This window comes from Homo sapiens, chromosome 3, assembly GCF_000001405.40.
Source record: "Homo sapiens chromosome 3, GRCh38.p14 Primary Assembly".
Taxonomy (NCBI): domain Eukaryota; kingdom Metazoa; phylum Chordata; class Mammalia; order Primates; family Hominidae; genus Homo; species Homo sapiens.
The window spans coordinates 196,291,219-196,307,271 of record NC_000003.12 but is presented as its reverse complement, the minus strand read 5'-3'; the positions used below and the strand labels follow the sequence as shown (position 1 = coordinate 196,307,271).

Sequence of the window (16,053 nt, the reverse complement as noted above, 5' to 3'; positions counted from 1 at the left end):
ACAATCTTGGGAGGTAGGTACTGATATTCCTGTTTAATAAGGGAGACTTAAACTGAAAAGTTAAATTACTTTCTGAGGTTATACACTTGCTGAGTTATAGTTAGGATCTGCCTTCACGTCCTCCTGACCCCCAAGCTTACCACCATATTCATTAAGTACTTGTGGATTGAATGTTTATGTCCATTTCTGGGCAAATTTGTCTTCAATAAGTAATTTTACTACATATTTGCTTATAAATAACCTTATTTTTTCTTTCTAGAAATGGGATTTGACCGATACAAAATGGTGGTGCAAGTAGTGATTGGAGAACAAAGAGGTGAAGGAGTATTGTGAGTAGCTGGATTTTCCTTCTTGTTTTAGTCATCTATATTTCTTATGAGGTATCTGTCCTTTGGACAATTCAGTAAGAGTGCCTTTACAAGAGTGAGAAGGGCCGGGTGTGATGGGTCACACCTGTAATCTCAGCACTTTGGGAGGCTGAGGCGGGTGGATCACCTGAGGTCAGGAGTTCAAGACCAGCCTGGCCAACATGGCGAAACCCCGTCTCTACTAAAAATTAGCCGGGTGTGATGGCGTGCGCTTGTAGTCCCAGCTACTCAGGAGGCTGAGGCAGGAGAATCACTTCAACGCAGGAGGTGGAGGTTGCAGTGAGCCAAGATCGTGTCATTGCACTCCAGCCTGGGTGACAGAGTAAGACTCTGTCTCAAAAATAAATAAATAAAATATCTTTATTATCTCTAAAATATTGTCAGTCCTTAATATCATAAAATATGCTGTTATTATTCAGATATGCCTCATATATGTATGTATGTGTTTTCTTTCTTTTCTTTTTTTTTTGTTTAAAGAGACAGGGTCTCATTTTGTCACCCAGGTTGGTGTGCAATGGCACTATCACAACTCACTGCAGCCTTGGCCTCCTGGGCTCAAGTGATCCTCCTGCCTCAGCCTCCTGAGTAGCTGGGACTGCAGGTGTGCACCACCACACCTGGCTAATTTTCTTTCTTTCTTTTTTTTTTTTTTTTTTGCAGAGATGGGTCACACTCTGTTGGCCAGTCTGGTCTTAAACTCCTGGGCTCAGGCAATTCACCAGCCTTGGCCTCCTAAAGTGGTGGACTTATAGGCTTGAACCACCATGCCAGACCTATTATTTTCTTTTTACAATTTTTTCAAATTAAGATTCAAACAAGGTCCACACATTGCATTTGGTTAATATGTAAATTAGGATTTTTTTTTAAGACGTAAGATCTTGCTATCTTGCCCAGGCTGGAGTGCAGTGGCTATTCACAGATGTGATCATAACACACTACAGACTAGAACTCCTGGGCTCAAGTGATCCTCCCACCTCAGCCTGCCAGGTAGCTGGGACTATAGGTGCACACCACAGCATCTGGCTTTAAATTTACTTCAATGTGTTGTTTTTGCTGCCTCATTTCTCTCTTTCTTCTTTTAATCCTGCCATTTGATTTTATTTTTATGACAGTCTTGCTTCCTCACCCAGGCTGGAGTGCAGTGGCATGATCTCGGCTCACTGCAACCTCTGCCTGCCGGGTTCAAGTGATTCTCCTGCCTCAGCCTCCTGAGTAGCTGGGATTACAGGCGCTCACCACCACGCCCAGGTAATTTTTGTATTTTTAGTAGAGATGGGGTTTCACCATGTTGGCCAGGTTGGTCTCCAACTCCTGACCTCAGGTGATCCACCCACCTTGGCCTCCCAAAGTGCTGGGATTGCAGGCGTGAGCCACTGTGCCCTGTCAGTTATTTATTTATTTATTTTTTCCTGCCATTTATTTGTTGAAGAAATTGGTTTGTTTGTCCTGTAGAGTTTCCTATATTCTGGCAGTTGCTGATTATATACCTATGGTATTGTTTAATATGTCTTCTATTTCCTGTACTTCTTGAAAATAAGTAGTTAGATCTAGTCTTAATTAGCCATAGGTTTGAGGTTGGGGAAATACTGTTTTCTATACATCCTATTGCATCTTCTCAGAAGGTACAAAATAGCTGGTCATCTCTTTTTGCTTTGTTAAGGTTGATCATGGAGTTCAGATATTGTCAGATGGATCCATCTATTATAAAGTTTCCCATCAGGGCCGGGCGTGGTGGCTCACACCTGTAATCCCAGCACTTTGGGAAGCTGAGGCAGGAGGATCACTTGAGCCCAGGAGTTCCAGACCAGCCTGGGCAACACAGCAAAACTCTGTCTCTACAAAAAAATACAAAAATTAGCCGGGCATGGTGGCACACGCCTGTGGTCCCAGCTACTTGAGAGACTGAGGTGGGAGGACCTCTTGAGCCCAGGAAGGTTGAGACTGCAGTAAGCCGTGATTGTGCCACTGTACTCCAGCCTGGGTGACAGAGTGAGACCCTGCCTCAGATAGGTAGGTAGGTAGGTAGGTAGATAAGTGCTTACCTTGTCTTCTAGTTTCCATTGTTTCTGTTGAGAAGTCAGCTGTAAGTTTTATTATTCAATTTAAGATGGTATGTCCTCTCTAGCCACTATTACTTTCTTTGTATTTATTCTGCTTAGAGCACTCAGAGTCTCTTGAATCTATGGATTGATTTTTTTGTTGTTTTTTTTTTGAGATGGAGTTTCGCTTTTGTCTCCCAGGCTGTAGTGCAATGGTGCGATCTTGGCTCACTGCAAGCTCTGCCTCCCAGGTTCAAGAGATTCTCCTGCCTCAGCCTCCCGAGTAGCTGGGAGTATAGGTGCCAACACCATGCTCGGCCTTCTAAAGTCCTGGGATTACCAGTGTGAGCCACTGCACCCAGCCAGGTTGATTTTTTTTATCAGTTTGGGAAAATTCTTAGCCATTACCTTTGTTTAAAAAAAACAGTTTTTGGCCAGGTGCAGTGGCTCCCACCTGTAATCTCAGCCCTTTGGGGGACCGAGGTGGGTGGATCACTTGAGGTCAGGAGTTCGAGACCAGCCTGGCCAACCTGGCGAAACCCTGTCTCTACTAAAATTACAAAAAATTAGCCGGGCATGGTGGTGCACACCTGTAACCCCAGCCACTTGGAGGCTGAGGCAGGAGAATTGCTTGAACCTGGGAGGTGGAGGTTGCAGTGAGCTGAGATCACGCCACTGCACTCCAGCCTGGGGAACAGAGTGAAACTCTATCTCAAAAAATAAAAAAATAAAAAAACCAAGTTTTTATTTTAAAATAGTTTTAGATTTATAGAAAAGTTGCAGAGTTAGCGTATACTCCACACCCAGTTTCCCTGTTACTGTAAGAATAGTAATTATGCTATTGAGACAGTTCTTGCTCTGTCGCCCACGCTGGAGTGCAGTGGTGCAACCGTGGCTCACTGCAGCTTTGACCTCTTGGGCTTAACCAGTCCTCCTGCCTCGGCTTCCCAAAACACTGGGGTTACAGGCATCATCTACCGCACCCGGACTCCCTATGGTTAACATCTACATAGTATGGAACATTTATTATAATTAATGAAACAATATTGATACAGTGTTATCAAATAAAGCTTTGTTCTGATTTCTAGTTTGTTCCTAATGTCCTTTTTCTGCTTTAGGATTCTATCTAGGATACCACATTAAATGTCTCTTTGGGCTCTTCTTGGCGGTAACAGTTTCTCAGACTTTCTTGTTTTTCATCACCTTGACTTTTTTGAGGAGTACTGGTTAGGTGTTTTGTAGAATGTTCCTTCACTGGGATTTTTCTGCTAATGATTAGTCTGAGGTTACAGGTTTTTGGAAGGAAGATCACAGAGGTAAGACGCCATTCTCGTCATATCATATCAATGGTACATACTGTCAACATGACATGTTACTGTTCATATGAACTTTGCCTCCCTGCCTGAGCTAATGCTTCTCAGGTTTCTTTACTATAAACTTACTCTTTCTATAACTGCTCAGTGGGTTCACTTGCCCGCTGCCTAGACAGAGCCGATTCATCATGACAGGGGAATTGCCATAGAGAAAAAGTAATTCACGCACAGCCGGCTGTGCGGGAGACCGGAGTTTTATTATTACTCAAATCAGTCTCTCCCAGCATTCGGGGAGCAGAGTTTTTAAGGACAGCTTGGTGGGTGTGGAGAGCCAGTGAGCCGGGAGTGCTGATTGATCAGGGATGGAATCACAGGGAGTCAGCTGTCTTCTTGTGCTGAGTCAGTTCCTGGGTCGGGGCCACAAGATCAGATGAGCCAGTTTATCCATCTGGGTGGTGCCAGCTGATCCATCAAGTGCAGGGTCTGCAAAATATCTCAAGCGCTGATCTTAGGAGCAGTGTAGGGAGGGTCAGAATCTTGTAGCCTCCAGCTGCATGGCTCCTAAACCATCATTTCTAATCTTGTGACTAATGTTAGTCTAGTCCCCCGGCAAGAAGGAGGTCTGCTTTGGGAAAGGGCTGTTACCGTCTTTGTTTTAAACTATAAATTAAGTTTCCCCCCAAGTTAGTTCAGCCTACGCCCAGGAATGAACAAGGGCAGCTTGGAGGTTAGACGCAAGATGGAGTCGGTTAGGTTGGATCTCTTTCACTGTCTCAGTCATCATTTTGCAAAGGCGGTTTCATTTCCTCCGTGTTCATCCTGTACTCATTAGGAGGAAATCATCGTGTGCAGCCCACACTGAAAGAGCAGGGAGTTATGACCCACCTCCTCAAGGGCATCGTATCTGCGTAAATTCTTTGGAATTTTCAGCACAGGAAATTTGTCTCTCCTCTCCCATTTATTTATGTATTCTGTCATTTATTTCAACATGGACTCATGGATATTTTATACTTTGGATGATTATTCAATACTACTTTATTTATTTTGTAGTTCTAATTGTTCCAGCTTGGCCATTGAGAGCTTTCAGTGGATTCCTGTGTCCCACTGACTCTACTATTGTGGGTTTCTTTGAGCACTTCCTTACTTTCCAGCACTATCAGAAGCTCCACTGTGTTCATTCCCTACCCCAGCCCTACAATTCAGCCATTTCTCCAAGGAGCCCCTGTTCAATGTGTTGGAGAATGGCATTAGAAACTAAGCTTGGGGCCCTAGAGGTAGCCGTTCTCTTTTAAAACACTGCTGCTGCCCCTTCCACTCCGCTCTCTTTTTAGGATTTAGGTTACATGTATGTTTGGTCTTTTCTCAGTATTCCACATGTCTCTTATGCTTTTTTCTGATTTTTCTATTTCCTCTCTGTGCTTCAGTTTATATATTTTTTCTTTTTTCAGACGGAGTCTCGCTCTGTCACCCAGGCTGGAGTGCAGTGGTGTGATCTCGACTCATCGCAACCTTCACCTCCTGGGTTTAAGCGATTCTCGTGCTTCAGCCTCCCAAGTAGCAGAGACTACAGGCGTGAGCCACCGTGCCTGGCCAATTTGTATATTTTTCTATTGGCCTTTTAGGTCAATCATCCTCTTTTCTGTTGCATCTGATCTGCAGTTAAACCCATAACCTGAGTTCTTAATTTCAGTTATTGTATCTTTCAGTTTGGGAATTTACATTTAGTTTTTATAGATTTCAGTTATCTAGTAAAAGGCTTTATCCTTCAATCTTTTTTAACCCTCCCCACTCTATTTTTACATTTTAGTCATACTAATTATTTTATTTTATTTTATTTTTGAGACAGAGTCTCACTCTGTCACCCAGGCTGGAGTGCAGTGGCGCCATCTCTGCTCACTGCAGCCTCCACCTTCCAGGTTCAAGCAATTCTCCTGCCTCAGCCTCCCGAGTAATTGGGATTACTGGTGCCCACCACCACACCCGCCTAGTTTTTGTATTTTTAGTAGTGACAGGATTTCACCATGTTGACCAGGCTTATCTGGAACTCCTGATCTCAAGTGATCTGCCCCGCTCAGCCTCCCAGAGTGTTGGGATTACAGGCATGAGCCACTGCGCCCAGCCACAGTAGTTATTTTTATGTTGTTATATGCTTACTCTGGTATCTGGGTCATGTGTGAGTTTGTTTCCATTGTATTTTTCTTGATAATCATGTATATGGCTTTGTCTCTTGGCATGCCTAGTTTGAATCTTAGATATTGCTTAAAAGAATTATAGACCTCCAGATGATATTATTTTCTTCCAGAAAGGACTTAACTCTCTCTTCTGCTGTGCAGGAAGAGTATTGGCCGCTTAGCTTCAGGTACTGAGCTGAATTGAGGTTGGGTTACAGTTTTATCTTTTTAAAAAATTTTCTTTTCTTGTGCCAACTCATCTGAGAGTTGTGGTTTTAAAAAGGCCCTATCTTAAATTCATCCCTTTTTTTTTTCTTTTTTGAGACAGAGTCTCAACTCTGTTGCCCAGGCTGGAGTGCAGTGGTGCGATCTCAGCTCACTGCAACCTCTGGCTCCTGGGCTCAAGTGATCCTCCTGCTTCAGCCTCCCAAGTAGCTGGGACCGTAGGCATGAGCCACCACGCCCAACTAATTTTTGTATGTTTTTGTTGAGATGGGGTTTCACCATGTTGCCCAGGCTGGTCTTGAAGTCCTTGGCTCAAGTGATTCTCCTGCCTTGGCCTCCCCAAGTGCCCAAGTGCTAGGATTATAGGTGTGAGCCACCACACCCAGCCTCACCCTTGTTTCTATTTTTTTTTTTTTTTTTTTTTTGGAGACAGAGTTTCATTCTTGTTGCCCAGGCTGGAGTGCAATGGCATGATCTTGGCTCACCACAACCTCAGCCTCCCGGGTTCAAGTGATTCTCCTGCCTCAGCCTCCTGAGTAACCGGGATTAGAGACGCACGCCACCACGCCCGGCTAATTTCTGTATTTCAGTAGAGATGGGGTTTCACCATGTTGGCCAGGCTGGTCTCAAACTCCTGACCTCAGGTGATCCACCCACTTTGGCCTCCCAAACTGCTGGGATTATGGGCGTGAGCCACTGTGCCTGGCCCCCTTGTTTCTTAATTGTAGCCCTCCAAGTCTTTCAACCAAGAACCTCGAATGTTCATTAGGCCTCTGCAGGCCTCTACCTCCAACAGGTGCTGACTTTCAGATCTTGTCTCCTCAGCATAAAACTTTGCTCTTCATGTCAGAGGCTTTTTCCTTAGTGTACTAGTTTCCTGTTGCTGCCGTAACAAATTATCACAAACTCAGTGCTGAAAATGGCACAAATATATTACTTTACAGTTCTGGAGATCAGAAATCCAAAATGGGTTTCATTGAACTAAAATGAAGATGTCAGCAGGGCTGCATTCCTTCTGGAGGCTCTAAGACTGAATCCATTTCCTCGTCTGTTCCAGTTAGAGGCCCCTGAACTCCTTAGCCCATAAGCCGTTTCCTCCAATTTCAAAGCCAGCAGCACAGCATCTTCAACTCTCTGACTCTGACCCACCTACTCCCTCTTTCTTTTGTAAGGACCCTTGTGATTTAGTCATACTAGTTACTTTATTTTATTTTATTCTATTTTTGAGAAAGAGTCTCACTCTGTTGCCCAGGCTGGAGTGCAGTGGTGCCATCTCGGCTCACTGCAAGCTCCGCCTCCTGGGTTCACGCCATTCTCCTGCCTCAGCCTCCCGAGTAGCTGGGACTACAGGCGCCCGCCACCACACCCGGCTAATTTTTTGTATTTTTAGTAGAGACGGGGTTTCACCACGTTAGCCAGGATGGTCTCGATCTCCTGACCTCGTGATCCGCCTGCCTCAGCCTCCCAAAGTGCTGGGATTACAGGCGCGAGCCACTGTGCCCGGCCTGAATTCAGCATGTCTTGAAAAGAAAACCTACCATGTGATACGCTCAGTTCTACTTTCTCCTTTTTTATGGGATCTTCCCTCCAGAATCTGATTTTACCTCCTTAGCTTTGTTAAGACTGCCGACTCTGCTGGGCACAGTGGCTCACTCCTGTAATCCTACCACTTTCGAAGGCCAAGGCGGGCAGATTGCCTGAGCTCAGGAGTTGGAGACCAACCTGGGCAATATGGTGAAACCCCGTCTCTACCAAAAATACAAAAAATTAGGGCCAAGCACAGTGGCTCATGCCTGTAATCCCAGCACTTTGGGAGGCCGAGGCCGGTGGATCACTTGAGGTCAAGAATTCGAGACCAGCCTGCCCAACATGGTGAAACCCCGTCTCTACTAAAAATACAAAAATTAGCCGGGCGTGGTGGTGGGTGCCTGTAGTCCCAGCTACTTGGGAGGCTGAGGTAGGATAATTGCTTCAACCCGGGAGGTTGTGGTTGCAGTGAGCCAAGATTGTGCCACTGCACTCCAGCCTGGGCAACAGAGTGAAACTCCATCTCAAAAAAAAAAAAGAAAAAAAAAAATTAGCCAGGCATGGTGGTGCATGCCTGTTATCCCAGCTACTCGGGAGGCTGAGACATGAGAAGTGCTTGGCCTGGGGAGGCAGAGGTTGCAGTGAGCTGAGATCGTGCCACTGCACTCCAGCCTGGGTGACAGAGCAAGACTCTGTCTCAAAGTAAAATTAATAAATAAAAAAATTTTAAAAAGTAAAGACTGCCAACTCTCCTACTAGTTAAATTTTCCCTCAGTAATTTGTTCTTTACCTGAGCAAGGCCCAGATTCTCAGCATCTAGCCCTGTGCCCTGAATTGGCAAATCCTCCAGGAAAAAAATCTGCTGCGGAATATCAGCTTACCTCCTAGAGTTCACCTCTTTCTGGAATTTTGGCTCCTCTAGGCCTGTTTGCTTTGGCAGCTCCCTGATTCATTTTATCCAGCTTTTCTTACTGTTCTTGGTGGGAGCATTATTAGCCTGCTACAAACTGTACCATTACACTTTTTCCAAGTCACACCTGTAATCCCAGCACTTTGGGAGGCTGAGGTGGGCCGATTGCTTGAGCTCAGGAGTTTGAGACCAGCCTGGCCCACATGGTGAAACCCTGTCTCTACAAAAAATATAAAAATTAGCCAGGCGTGGTAATGCACGTGTGTAGTCCCAGCTACTCGGAAGGCTGAGGCAGGAGAATCATTGAACCCGGGAGGTGGAGGTTGTAGTGAGCTGAGATTGTGCCACTGCACTCTAGCCTGGTTGACAGAGTGAGACTCCCTCTCAAAAAATAAAAATAAAATATAAATAAATAAAACAATTGGGGTCTCACTATTTTATATTTTTGTCTCAAAAAACAAACAACTCTCTCTTGTGGTGTGTGCTTGATTCTGCTTCTTGTCATGTCTTCTCACAAGTCTTTTAAGAGTAAGCGATTCCTGGCCAAGAAACAAAAGCCAAATCGTCCCATTCTCCAGTGGATCTGGTTGAAAACTGGTAATAAAATCAGGCACAACTGGAAAGGAGACATTGCAGAACAGCCAAGCTGGGTCTATAAGGAACTGCACGTGAGCTGGCACACATATTCACGCTGTATCAAGGTCACGGCCATCTTACTATAGCAAGCTGAAAACGTCACCACTGTCTGAACAGTTGGACGTGTTTTATTGGGAATATATTTTTTCTCTTTGCTTATATGCCCTGCGATAGTAGGCTGGGTTCAGTAATAAATATGTGAGACCTTTTGTTTCAGGAAAAAAAAGAACCAATATAATATAAGGTATATGTGTATGTTTCTCTGTGGGTATGGGTTGTGAACTGCCTGGGTGCAAAGCCAAGCTTTGTTACCTAGTTGTATGACCTTGTACACTTAATTTCTCTAATCCTCATTTGTCACATTCACTAAATGGGTAAAATTATAGTACCTCATAGGATTCAGTGAGTTAATACACGTAAAACACTTAGACTAGTGAATGGCACAAAGTAAGTGCTCAATAAGTGTTTGCATGATAAATCATACACATACGTTTAATAGAAATGTAAAACATTTGTAATTTTTTTTTCACTTATTATTATTATTTATTATTAGTTTTTGAGACAGAGTCTCACTCTGTCGCCAAGGCTGGAGTGCAGTGGCACAATCTTGGCTCACTGCAGCCTCCACCTCCTGGGTTCAAGTGATTCTCCTGCCTCAGCCTCCCGAGTAGCTGGGATTACAGGCGTGTGCCACGATGCCCAGCCAATTTTTGTATTTTTAGTAGAGATGGGGTTTCACCATGTTGGGCAGGCTGGTCTCGAACTCCTGACCTCAGGTGATTCGCCCACCTCAGCCTCCCAAAGTGCTGGGATTACAGGTGTGAGCCACCATGCCCAGCCTATTTTTTTCACTCAACATTATATTGTGAATAGCTTTTCATGTTCTTGGAATTTTTTTTTTAAGAGCCAGGGTCCTGCTGTGTCTCCCAGGCTGGAGTGCAGTGGTGCTATCTCAGGTCACTGCAAGCTCCGCCTCCCAGGTTCACACCAGCCTCCTGAGTAGCTGGGACTACTGGTGCCTGCCGCCACGCCTGGCTAATTTTTTGTATTTTTAGTAGAGATGGGGTTTCACCGTGTTAGCCAGGATGGTCTCGATCCCCCGACCTCGTGATCTGCCCGCCTTGGCCTCCCAAAGTGCAGAATTGTTTTTTTTTTAAGAGCCAGGGTCCTGCTGTGTCTCCCAGGCTGAAGTGCAGTGGCTGTTCACAGGTGTGATCTTCACATACTACATCCCTGAACTCCTGGGCTCAAATGATACTCCCTGTCTCAGCCTCCTGAGTTGCTGGGACTACAGGGACACGTCACTGTGTCTTGCAAAACTTTTCTTTAAGGTCTACATAGAATTTCATTGCCAGAAAACATCATTATTTCTTTTTTCTTTTTTTAAAAAATTCTCCCAGATCCTGAGAAATACCATAATTTCATTTACCAATCCAGTCCTATTGGGCATTTAAGTTGTTTCCATTTTTAATTGGCTTTTATTTTGACTAATATTTTTTTCTTATCCAAGAATTGCAGAGAGGAGAATAGCCAATTTCAAGGTAGTTTAGCATTCTGTAGAGATATTTTTGGAGTTATAATTCGTTAGAAGACTGAATTCTAGTTCAGAGTTTGCTCCTTTTTCTGGGACTCTATAAAATGATCAGGTTGGACTAAATCTGTTGGGCTCTTTCTGTGCCTTCCTCGTCCTGTTATTGTGCAGGAGCTGAGCTCATTAAAAGTCACACACAAATCTCTAGTATTGATCCCTGTAGCCATCAGGTAGGGTCTGAGGCTGTCAGAGTACCTGGCTGGTCACCTCTAGTTGCAAGCAGCTTCATCTGACTCTAGTTTCTCCGGTTTACCCAGTATACTCTCTGGTACAAATACAATACTCTGTGGGTACCTACCTGTGAAAGGTTTGGAAGTACAGATCTATGAGAATGTATTAAGGAACACTGTTTCTCGTGGCAGATATGTGTCGTTTAGGTCCTTGTTAGATTGTTGATAATTCTTCATTCTTGGATTTTTTAGCATGGCTTCTCGCTGTTTCTGGGATGCTGACACTGACAACTATACTCATGATGTTTTCATGAATGTAAGTGTATTTGGAAACCTCTTTTCCCTTTCTAAGAACGTGGGCACCGCAAATCAAACTATTTACTGTTGATTGGGATGGAAAGACACTGCTGTCTTAGTCATTCATCTTTGACTTGTGAATGAAATGATTTTACTGTTAGTTTTTGTGTTACTAAAGCAGAAACCTAGAGTGCTGCTTATAGGCAAGGAAACTTACATGTTTACATATGACATAATTTTTCATGGGTTTGAATTTCTGAATAGCATATTATTTAGTTAGCATATTATTTAAACATTATTTTTAGCCACTTCCTCCATAAATCAGTGTTCTAAAACTCAATCCTGATAATCCTTATTAAAGTAATAATTTATAACTAAAATTTTAAAATCACTTATTTGTTCATTTGAACCAATCACACTTTGCTAAGTTGCAAACAAATGTGGATGGCAGGGATTCCATGAGCAAAGGTCATTTTTTTTTAGTAGTAAAATTTATTACTTTATCTTAAAGCCATTTATTAAAATTAAGCAAAAATAAAGAGGAATCTTTAAAAAGATGTTTCAGGCCAGGCGCGGTGGCTCATGCCTATAATCCCAGCACTTTGGGAGGCCAAGGAGGGCGGATCACCTGAGGTCAGGAGTTCAAGACCAGCCTGGCCAACATGGTGAAAGCCTGTCTCTACTAAAAATATAAAAATTAGCCGAGCATGGTGGCGGGCACCTGTAATCCCAGCTACTCAGGAGGCTGAGGCAGGAGAATCGCTTGAACCCCGGAGGCAGAGGTTGCAGTGAGCTGAGATTGTGCCACTGTATTCCAGCCTGGGTGACACACACACACACATAAAAGAGGTTTCATTGAAGTTATTATTTTATATTTACTCCAGAAAGGATTGCATCCTCTATTCGTCTACTCCCAGGTTGTGAATACATAGAGTCAGAGTTAGAGTAGAACAGAAACTAGATTGAGTAAATTAAGAGAGTGAGGCCAGGTGGGGTGGCTCACGCTTGTAATCTCAGCACTTTGGGAGGCCGAGGCATGTGGATCACTTGAGGTCAAGAGTTTGAGAGCAGCCTGGCCAACATTGTGAAACCTCTTCTCTGCTAAAAACACACACACAAAAAATTAGCCGGGTGTGGTGGTGCACGCCTGTAATCCCAGCTACTTGGGAGGCTGAGGCAGGAGAATTGCTTGAACCTGGTGGCGGAGGTTCCAGTGAGCTGAGATCGCACCACTGCATTCCAGCCTGGGCAGCAGAGCAAGACTCTGTCTCAAAAATTAAAAAAAGAAAAAAGAAAAAAGTAAAAAGAAATAAGAGGGGGATTCCATCTCCAGTTCTGTCACTTTCTAATTGAATGACTTCAGGTAAGTCATTGGATTTTTCTCACATTGTATCAGTGACATTAGGAAGCTGAAGTACATTTTCCCAAAGACTGGCTGTGACTGCCTAAGGATCATCTGGGAAGTTGTTTAAAATATAGACGCTGGGTCCCTATTCAAATAGATTCTGATCAAATAGGCCAGGGGTTAGATCAGTGAATCAGAATATTTAAAAAGTTCCCCATGATTCTGCTGACTGCCAGATATGGACACTGCTTATGTAGATGATTTTAAGGTAGCTTTTAGCTCTAAAATTCTATGGTCTCACCAAGGTTTTATTTTTATTTTTATTATTTTTTGAGACAGAATTTTGCTCTTGTTGCCCAGGATGGAGTGCAATGGCACAATCTCAGCTCACCACAACCTCCACCTCCCGGGTTGAAGTGTCCTGCCTCAGCCTTCCGAGTAGCTGGGATTACAGGCATGCACCACCACACCTGGCTAATTTTGTAATTTTAGTAGAGACAGGGTTTCTCCATGTCGGTTAGGTTGGTCTGGAGCTCCCGACCTCAGGTGATCGGCCCGCCTCGGCCTCCCAGAGTTCTGGGATTATAGGCGTGAGCCACTGCGCCCAGCCCCACCAAAGTTTTATTTTATGCTTAACTACCCTAGGGATCAGGGGCTGGACAGTGGGAAGTACTATGTAAATCTTAATTTATCAGCTATCTTTGGGGGAATAGTCAAGCTAAGAAGATGGTTTTTTTTGCCAGGCACGGTGGCTCATGCCTGTAATCCCAGCACTCTGGGAGGCCGAGGCGGGCGGATCATGAGGTCAAGAGATTGAGACCATCCTGGCCAACATGCTGAAACCCCGTCTCTACTAAAAATACAAAAATTAGCCAGGTGTGGTGTTGGGTGCCTGTAATCCCAGCTACTCGGGAGGCTGAGGCAGGAGAATTGCTTGAACCTGGGAGGCAGAGGTTGCAGTGAGGCGAGATTGTGCCACTGTACTCCAGCCTGGAGACAGAGCGAGACTCTGTCTCAAAAAAAAAAAAAAAAATGCATCTTGTTTGTTTGTTTTGAGACGGAGTCTCACTCTGTCACCTAGGCTGGAGAGTGGTGGTGCCATCACGGCTCACTGCAACCTCTGCCTCCCAGGTTCAAGTAATTCTCCTGCCCCAGCCTCCCGAGTAGCTGGGACTACAGGTGCATGCCACCACGCTCGGCTAATTTTTGTATTTTTTAGTAGAGACAAGGTTTCACTATTTGGTCAGGCTGGTCTCCAACTCCTGACCTCAGGTGATCTGCCTGCTTTGGCCTCCCAAAGTGCTGGGATTACAGGCATGAGCCACTGGGCCTGGCCAAAAAATGCATCTTTAGATGATACAATTCATTCATTCAACAAATAGTTCTGAGCTCCTATTATGTGTCAGCTTCTGCACCTGAGGGGCTAGGGACAAAATGATGAATAAGACAGGCATGGTTTCTGCCTATTAACATCCAGTGGGGGCCACTCAATACTCAAATGAACAAATATGTAATAAAAAACTTTAGGCTGGGTGTGGTGGCTCACGCCTGTAATCCCAGCACTCTGGGAGGCCGAGGCGGGTGGATCACCTGAGGTCAGGAGTTCAAGACCAGCCTGGCCAACATGGTGAAACCCCATCTCTACTAAAAATACAAAAACTAGCCGGGCAAGGTGGCGGGCGCCTGTAGTCCCAGCTACTTGGGAGGCTGAGGCAGGAGAATTGCTTGAACCCAGAGGGCGGAGGTTGCAGTGAGCCAAGATTGTGCCACTGCACTCCAGCCTGGGCGAGAGGGCAAGACTCTGTCTCAAAAAAAAAGCACTTTATTTGGGAGATTCCAGGAAACATTAGTAGAGGCAGAGGAAATGAGAAAGGAGGGAAAATCATGTGGTATTGAGCGGAAAACTGCTGGATGACAGGGCTCAGTCCTGTTGGAGAACTCTGGGTGGTGCTGTAGAACAGGGCCACTCACAGTGGGGTGCACAGACCAGCACGGCTCTGTGACCTGTTTGTTACAGGTCCATGATGAGGTAAACAATACACTGAGTATAAGGGTTGGTTTAGAAACTCTTACAGCAATTTGACAAAGTAATCTTCTGTGCAGTGAATCTAAGAAAAAAATTGGGGCTGTATTTGTATGTTCCTTTTTTTCATTTCATGTTCTGAGTTACCTATTTTTATTGCATTTTACAAAAGCATCCTTCCATGAAGGACCGGAAGTTAAAAACAAAGCAGGTCCTTTATCACAGCACTGTCGTAGAACACAGTTCAGAGTTATCCACCCAAGGAGCCAGGGAGCTGGGCTAAACCAAAGAATTTTGCTTTTGGTTAATCATCAGGTACTTGAGTTGGAATTGTTTTAATCCCATCATTACCAGGCTGGAGGTGAGGTTAGTGGTGCAGGAGTTGCTGAGGCAGGTGGAAATCTTGTAATAAATGCCTAAAAATGTTTTAAGCAATTTGACTGGGCTCTGGAAAGCATTTTGTGATTCTGAACTAAAAGATGGACAAGTAAATTTTATCAATTAAGAACAAACACCCAGAGACTATTTCTCTTATCCAGAATTTATGACAAGGTCCTGTTGTTCTTATTATCAGTGATACTTATAATATGGTTTCTTGGGATGAGTAATGGAGTTTACTCCAAGAAACTCAAAGCATTTCATACATTATTTCTGTGATAAATCAGGAAATATGTGAATAATTATTTTATGAATATGTATTACCTAAAGTTCATTAGTTCACATTTTATTTTTGCATTCAGAAAATCTAATTCTTTACCCATCCTAACCTTTTAGCAAGCAATTTTGTAGTCACCCTCAGGCAAGCAATAGTGTAGCTATACTCTGGAAACCCTTCACTTCTTGAAGAAGGAAAAAGTCTTCCTGATTGAAAATTGGTGGCTGGGTGAGGTGGCTCACGCCTATGATCCCAGCACTTTTGGAGACCAACATGGGTGGATTGCTTGATCCCAGGAGTTCAAGAACAGCCTGGGCAACATAGTGAGACCTCATCTTTACAAAAAATAAACAAAATTAGCCTGGTATGGTGGCAGGCACCTGTGGTCCTAGCTACTCTGGAGGCTGAGGTAGAAGGATTGCCTGAGTGTAGGAGGTCGAGGCTGCAGTGAGCTGAGATCACACCACTGCACTCCAGCCTGGGTGATAGAGTGACACCCTGTCTCAAAAAAGAAAAAAAAAATTGGAAAGATCTGAGATGGTGTTAGTTTCAGTTGCCTGTGCTGCTCTCATTCCCTCTTTAGTACTAACATTCTGGATGTGTGTGTGTGTTGTATTTATTTTTTAGGACAGTTTATTCTGCGTTGTAGCAGCATTTGGCTGTTTCTACTACTGAATGAATCTTTGAAAAGCTGGTAAAAGACATGACCATGAAGAAATCTGAACTTTTTAATATTGTTAAATATCTTGACAAAATAAAGATGTTAGTAGTTTGACAACTGAA

The 16,053-nt window shown here is 44.1% G+C and overlaps 1 protein-coding gene across 2 annotated transcripts in view, besides 1 other annotated feature; it reads left to right on the top strand.

The window, feature by feature from the left end:
- The window catches only part of DYNLT2B (dynein light chain Tctex-type 2B), a 27,022-nt gene extending 10,969 nt beyond the window's left edge, over nucleotides 1–16,053 (top strand). The window contains exons 3-5 of one of the 2 annotated variants that reach the window (NM_001351628.2): nucleotides 260–329; nucleotides 11,203–11,266; nucleotides 15,903–16,053. In NM_001351628.2, coding sequence (NP_001338557.1) covers nucleotides 260–329; nucleotides 11,203–11,266; nucleotides 15,903–15,968 — 200 coding nt within the window. In that variant the 3' untranslated portion in view covers nucleotides 15,969–16,053. Of the gene's footprint in view, nucleotides 1–259; nucleotides 330–11,202; nucleotides 11,267–15,897 lie in introns of both variants that reach the window. The other variant, NM_152773.5, reaches the window with a different exon arrangement.
- Nucleotides 14,436–14,525: an enhancer, noted in NCBI's record as "active region_21086". NCBI's record gives its function as "activates an Ori minimal core promoter by ATAC-STARR-seq in GM12878 lymphoblastoid cells {active_cell/tissue: GM12878}" and the evidence as "EXISTENCE:reporter gene assay evidence [ECO:0000049][PMID:35858748]".